This window comes from Homo sapiens, chromosome 14 (genome assembly GCF_000001405.40).
Source record: "Homo sapiens chromosome 14, GRCh38.p14 Primary Assembly".
NCBI lineage: Eukaryota > Metazoa > Chordata > Mammalia > Primates > Hominidae > Homo > Homo sapiens.
Genome location: NC_000014.9, coordinates 61669201 through 61675332, shown reverse-complemented (window position 1 = coordinate 61675332; position 6132 = coordinate 61669201). Strand labels below are relative to the sequence as shown.

Here is a 6132-nt window from a genome sequence, read left to right as displayed (position 1 = left end):
CTGCAAACAAAGCCTAGCTCATGTGCAGGTACAAACACATAGCCAGATTACCTCAATCTGAGACAACTCAGAAGGGCCATCTCCATTCCAGAGCTGCCTGCCGGATTGGCTAAAGTCTCAGTTGCAAATGCACCGGGGACTGGCTTCTCCCTCTGCCCAATATTGTCTTCCTTTCCTCTTTGCAAATATATCTCCTTAGAGATCTCTCCAATAAATCTTTGGCATGCAACTTTGGGTTTCAAGTATGTTTCCAGGAAAGCCAATTGCAGAAACTACACTAGAAAATAATTAAAAAATTCCCCAACAAACCAACCGTAGTAACCTGGTTACCACCAGCTGCAACCAGGTGGTTAAAGTGGCAAACTTTTATGTTTATTACAGCAGTATTTACAATAGCAAAGACTTGGAACCAACAGAAATGCCCATCAATGATAGACTGGATAAAGAAAATGTGACCTATATACTCCATGGAATACTGTGCAGCCATAAAAAAGAATGAGTTCATGTCCTTTGCAGGGACATGGATGAAGCTGGAAACCATTATCCTCAGCAAACTAACACAAGAACAGAAAACCAAACACGCATGTTCTTACTCGTAAGTGGGAATTGAACAATGAGAACACATGAACACAGGGAGGGGAACATCACAGACTGGGGCCCGTCGGAAGACGGGGGGAAAGGAACGGGAGAGCATTAGGACAAATACCTAATATATGTGGGGCTTAAAACCTAGATGACGGGTTGATAAGTGCAGCAAACCACCATGGCACGTGTATACCTATGTAACAAACCTACAAGTTCTGCACATATATCCCAGAACTTAAAGTAAAATAAAAATTTAAAAATGGCAAACTTTGCATATGACATTATTATTGTTAACTTCAGGTAAAATAAATTTTTGTTGTTGTTGTTATTGTTTTATTTGAGATGGAGTCTCACAATGTCACCCAGGCAGGAGTGCAGCGGTGTGATCTCTGCTCACTGCAACTTCCACCTTCTGGGTTCAAGCAATTCTCTTGCCTCAGCCTCCTGAGTAGTTGAGATTACAGAAGCGCAACACCACGCCCGGCTAATTTTTTTTTTTGTCTTTTTAGTAGAGATGGGGTTTCACTGTGTTGGCCAGGCTGGTCTTGAACTCCTGACCTGGTGATCCGCCTGCCTCAGCCTCCCAAAGTGTTGGGATTACAGGCATGAGCCCCCGCACCTGGCCAATAAATGTTTACTGATTCAATCATGTCTTAATAAGTCTCTTTTGTTTTTAAAAAATGTGGTTTGCCTGAACAAGCACAACAAATATTTATAGTACAGTAGCAGAGATTTGCAGAAAAGTGTAAGTATTTATCACTAAGTAGAAAGTTGATGGAATTTTAGGGGAAAATAGGGTGAGGAGGTGGAGGTGAAAGGGCAGAAATTATCTGTTCTTTCTTCTGTTTATTTCATTTATTTTGTTTTAAAAATAAAAGCTTTGGTCGCTTATGGCTGAAAGTATTCGTTGTGTAAGTCCTGTTAAAAAAAAAGAGAGAGAGGATCTCCCTAGACTTATAGTAGTCTTAAAACAATGTTGTCATTAAACACTTTTGCTAATTTTTAGATTTAAGGCTTATAGGTTCATTATTCCTTCTCATAGAATGAGCTTTTCAACTTTCTACCTCACAATTATTCGTACAATATAATTTATAGAAGAGACTGACCTAAACCCAATCTGACTTAAATTATATTCTGTGGTATTTTGGAGGGAGATTACTGAAAGTCACATCGATGGATTCTTAGCCCAGGGAAACTGTATGGCGTCCTAAGTGGAAGCTGTGTTAATTCAGGAAATTCTTTGAATACTTCTTAAGAAAACATCCTCAAAAACACTGCTCTGAGACAAGAGCCTCCAGCACAACGCAAAGGTGCCCTAAAGGCCCCATCACACAGTAATCACAAGAATTGATAAGTGCTTTGGTTTGCAGATGAGAATTTTTAGGCATAGGAAGGTGTGACATAATAAAAATATATATATATTCGGTCTCTGCTTTTGTTCCTGGCACAGAGGTCCTGAAACCCTTGTAATTTCATGAGCCATTGGGGTGCTACATGCATCTTTTGTTCTAATATTTGGTCATTGACCCCGGTTCCTGACACAGAACTTCTAATCTCTTGGAATTCCTGGGTCATAGGAGCATCTTTTGCTCTAACAAGGTGGCACTCGGCAGGCTCCTGGGTGGGGACTGGCCACCAGAAAGACCAAGCCATGATTTGAAACTTGGAACTTTCAGCCCCACCTTCCATCTTTTTGGAAGGAAACAGGGGCTGGAGATTGAGTTAATAATTAATCACGCTTATGTGATGAAGCCTCCGTAAAAACTACGGGCCAGGTGCAGTGGCTTGTGCCTGCAATCCCAGCACTGTGGGAGGCTAAGGTGGGCAGATCCCTTAAGCCCGGGAGTTTGAGACCAGGTCTAGCTAAAAATACGAAAATTAGCTAGGCCTGGTGGTGCACGCCTGTAGTCCTTGCTACCTGGGAGGCTGAGGTGGAAGGATCACTTGGTCCAGGAGGTTGAGGCTACAGTGAGCCAAGATCACACCACTGCACTCCAGCCTGGGTGACAGAGTAAGACCCTATCTCAAAAAAAAAAAAAAAAAAAAAAGAAAAACTGAACTATGGAGTTTGGAGAGCTTCAGGGTTGGTGAACACATCCACATGATGATAGGGTGGCACACCCAAAGTCCACAGGGACAGATGCTCCTGTGCTTGAGACCCTTCTGAACCTTGCCCTACATGTCTTGTCATCTGGCTGTCCATTTGTGTGTGTGCGTGTGTGTGTGTGTGTGTGTGTATTTTTTTTTTTCTTTTTTTTTTCTTTTGAGACAGAGTCTTACTCTGTCGCCCAGGCTGGAGTGCAGTGGCATGATCTCAGCTCACTGCAACCTCCGCCTCCCGGGTTCAAGCGATTCTTGTGCCCCAGCCTCCTGAGTAGCTGGTGTGGGATATGATGAGGTTTCTCTTCAAATAGTCTGATCAATCTTTTATTCTTTAATTCATAGTACCCTCCCCCCCCCCCACTTTTTTTCTCCTTTTTTCCTTTGTTAGATGCCCAGGCACGCCACAGTACCAGGCGTTACCAGTACCAGCTCACATTCCTTTCCTTATTTGGAAAGAGGACTAACTTTCTAGCTCATTACAGACACCCCTTCCCCTTCCTCTCCACTTTCTTTTACGTGCCCACCTTATCTAAAAAAATCAAATGTTTAGCCAACCGGAATTAGTTTAGATTGTACAACCCGACCCCGGCCAATGGGGAAAGGGTACAGGGGCAGGACTGACTTGCGTCAGGAATAAAGGCTCTCGTGCCCCTTTGTTCAGGTGTGCTCTCATGGCAACTGGCCGAGGAGGCACCCCTCTGCGCAGAAGTAAAATTGTTTGGCTAGGAATTCTTTGTTCGAGTGTTCAATTTCCTTAGGATTTGAGCGATATTTCTAACACTGGGGTTACAGGCGTGCACCACCATGCCCGGCTAATTTTTGTATTTTTAGTAGAGACGGAGTTTCGCCATGATGGCCAGGCTGGTCTCATGATGGTCACTCCTGGCCTCAAGTGATCTGCCAGCCTCAGCCTCCCAAAGTGCTGGGATTACAGGCCTGGCAACTGCACCCGGCCTCCATTTGTATATTTCAAAACATCCTTTGAAATAATAGGCAGTAGTAAGTAAACTGTTTTCCTGGGTTCTGTTAGCCACTACTGCCAATTATTGAACCTGAGGAGGAAGTCAAAGGAACCTCCAATTTTTAGCCAAGTTGGACAGAAGCTGTGGGCAATCTGGAGACCTCTACTTGTGATTGGCATCTGAAGTGGGGGGCAGTCTTATGAGACTGAGCCCTTAACCTATGGGATCTGACACTATTTCCAGGTAAGTAGTGTCAGAATTGAGTTAAATTGAGTTAAATTCTCTGACACCAGCTGGTGTCAGAGAATTGGCTGGTGTGGGGAAAACCCCACACATTTTGGTCACAGAAGTGTTCTGTAAAAGTGTGAGTATAGAGACGAAAAACTGTTTTCATTTTCCCTTACATGTGGTGTCAGAAATAGAGTTTTGAGAGTACAGTAGAAGAAAACAGTTTTTTTCCTATTGTATAAAAGGATGTCTGTTTCTGGCAAAACGTTGTGAACTCTGTCAGCCGGAAGTTTCTATCAACTAGCACTTCCTCTCACACTTCTTTAAGCAGATTGTACTGTAATTATAATTGATATTTGTAAAAACAATCCACAGGCAATGAAAACATTAAAGAAAGATTAAATTATGCTGCATATAGTCTAGTGTAGTATTAATTACATTTTACCCTACAGTTCTCCAATCCCATGAAAATCGGTAAACTTGCACGGTATATATGGAAATTTTATTACCCGGGTGGTTCCGTCCTCTTTTCTTGCTGTTTGGGTTGTCCCCTTCCCGTTCCTATCAGCAACTGTCCTTTCCAACATTTCATATAGAAACTGGAGGCAGTTGGACAAGAACTCACTTGACTTCCTGCATTCCTCTTGACAAATGTACCTGCATCTGCTCCCATCCTTATCTCTTTCGCTCTAGGAAGAGATGTCTCTCCTGCTGCCAGCAGCTTATCTCTGCTCTCTGCTCTTGTCTCCCTATCTTCAAGGACCCAGAACTATCATTGATCTCCTCTCTCACCTGTATTATCAAAACTCCACCCTGATTCTTTCCCCTTTAGCGTACAAACAGGCTCAGATGGCTCCCATCTTAAAGAGAGGCTTTCGATTGCACTGTCCCCTCTAGGTATCATTTTTTTTTTTTCTTTTTTGGAGACAGTCTCATCCTGTCCTCTAGGCTGGAGTGCAGTGGTGTGATCATGGCTCACTGCAGCCTCGAATTCCTGGGCTAAAGAGATCCTCTCACCTCAGCCTCCTGAATAGCTGGGGCTGGGATTACAGGTATGAGCTACCTCACCCAGTCTCTCTCACTTAATACTGCCTTCCCTTCACAACTAAATCTCAAAAGAACAGCCTACACTCATTGTCTCTACTTTTTCACTTCCCAATCACTGCTTAGTCCCATTATCTTCTATTCCCATCACTCCAGGAAACTGCCTTTATCTAGGTTTTATTTTTTCTTTCCCCCACTTTTTTTTTTTTTTTTTTTTGAGATGGAGTCTTGCTCTGTCACCCAGGCTGGAGTGCAGTGGCATGATCTCAGCTCACTGCAACCTCCACCTCCCAGGTTCAAGTGATCCTCCTGCCTCAGCCTCCCGAACAGCTGGGACTACAGGTGTGTGCCACCACGCCTGGCTACTTTTCTGTGTTTTTAGTAGAGATGGGGTTTCGCCATGTTGGTCAGACTTGTCTTGAACTCCTGACCTTAAGTGATCTGCCTGCCTTGGCCTCCCAAAGTGCTGGGAATACAGGTGTGAGCCACCACGCCTGTCCTAACTAGGTTTTAAATTGCTTAATTCACAACATGCTTTAGAGTTCTTATTTCACTTTTCTGATCTGCAAAATTTGACAATTTCTTCCTCCTTGAAACACCTCCCTTGATTTCTAGGATACCCATCCTTGGCTAGTTTTCTATATGCCTCTTGAATCGCTTCTTCTTCATTTTCTGCCTAGGCTTTTGCTACTCAGTATTTCATCATCAGCCTCTTCTCAACTTTTCCCTCTCAACATTTTATTATAAAAAATTCAAGTTAGAGAACAGTTGGAAGACTTGTGTAGTGTACATCCATATACTTGCCCCTTTGTCACTTTACCTTATCACTCTCATTGTCACTCCTACCCCAGGTATCTAGTTTAGAACATTTCTGGGTTCATACCTATCTAGTTCAAATGGATATTTCTACCTGGACTCTGGCCCAGCGCTAGAGGCCTCTCAAACTCAACATGGTGAAATTGAAGTCATCATTCTAGAGTCACCCTTTATTTTTCCCTTTCCCTTATCAGTCTGTCACTAAGTCCTGTCAATTCCATTTCTTTAACACCTCTTCCCTCTGTCCAAGTTCAAGCCCTGATCATTTCTTTTCTCAACTGCTCTTCCTGCAGCCAGGCCTGCTCATCTCTAATTCACTCACCAGCAGCTGCCAGAGTGTTGTTTGTAGGTGCAAATGTGATCATTTCAATTCCTTGTTTCATCTTTCAGGAAT

General features: G+C 43.2%; 1 annotated feature.

The window, feature by feature from the left end:
• Positions 3857-3936: an enhancer, noted in NCBI's record as "active region_8499". NCBI's record gives its function as "activates an Ori minimal core promoter by ATAC-STARR-seq in GM12878 lymphoblastoid cells {active_cell/tissue: GM12878}" and the evidence as "EXISTENCE:reporter gene assay evidence [ECO:0000049][PMID:35858748]".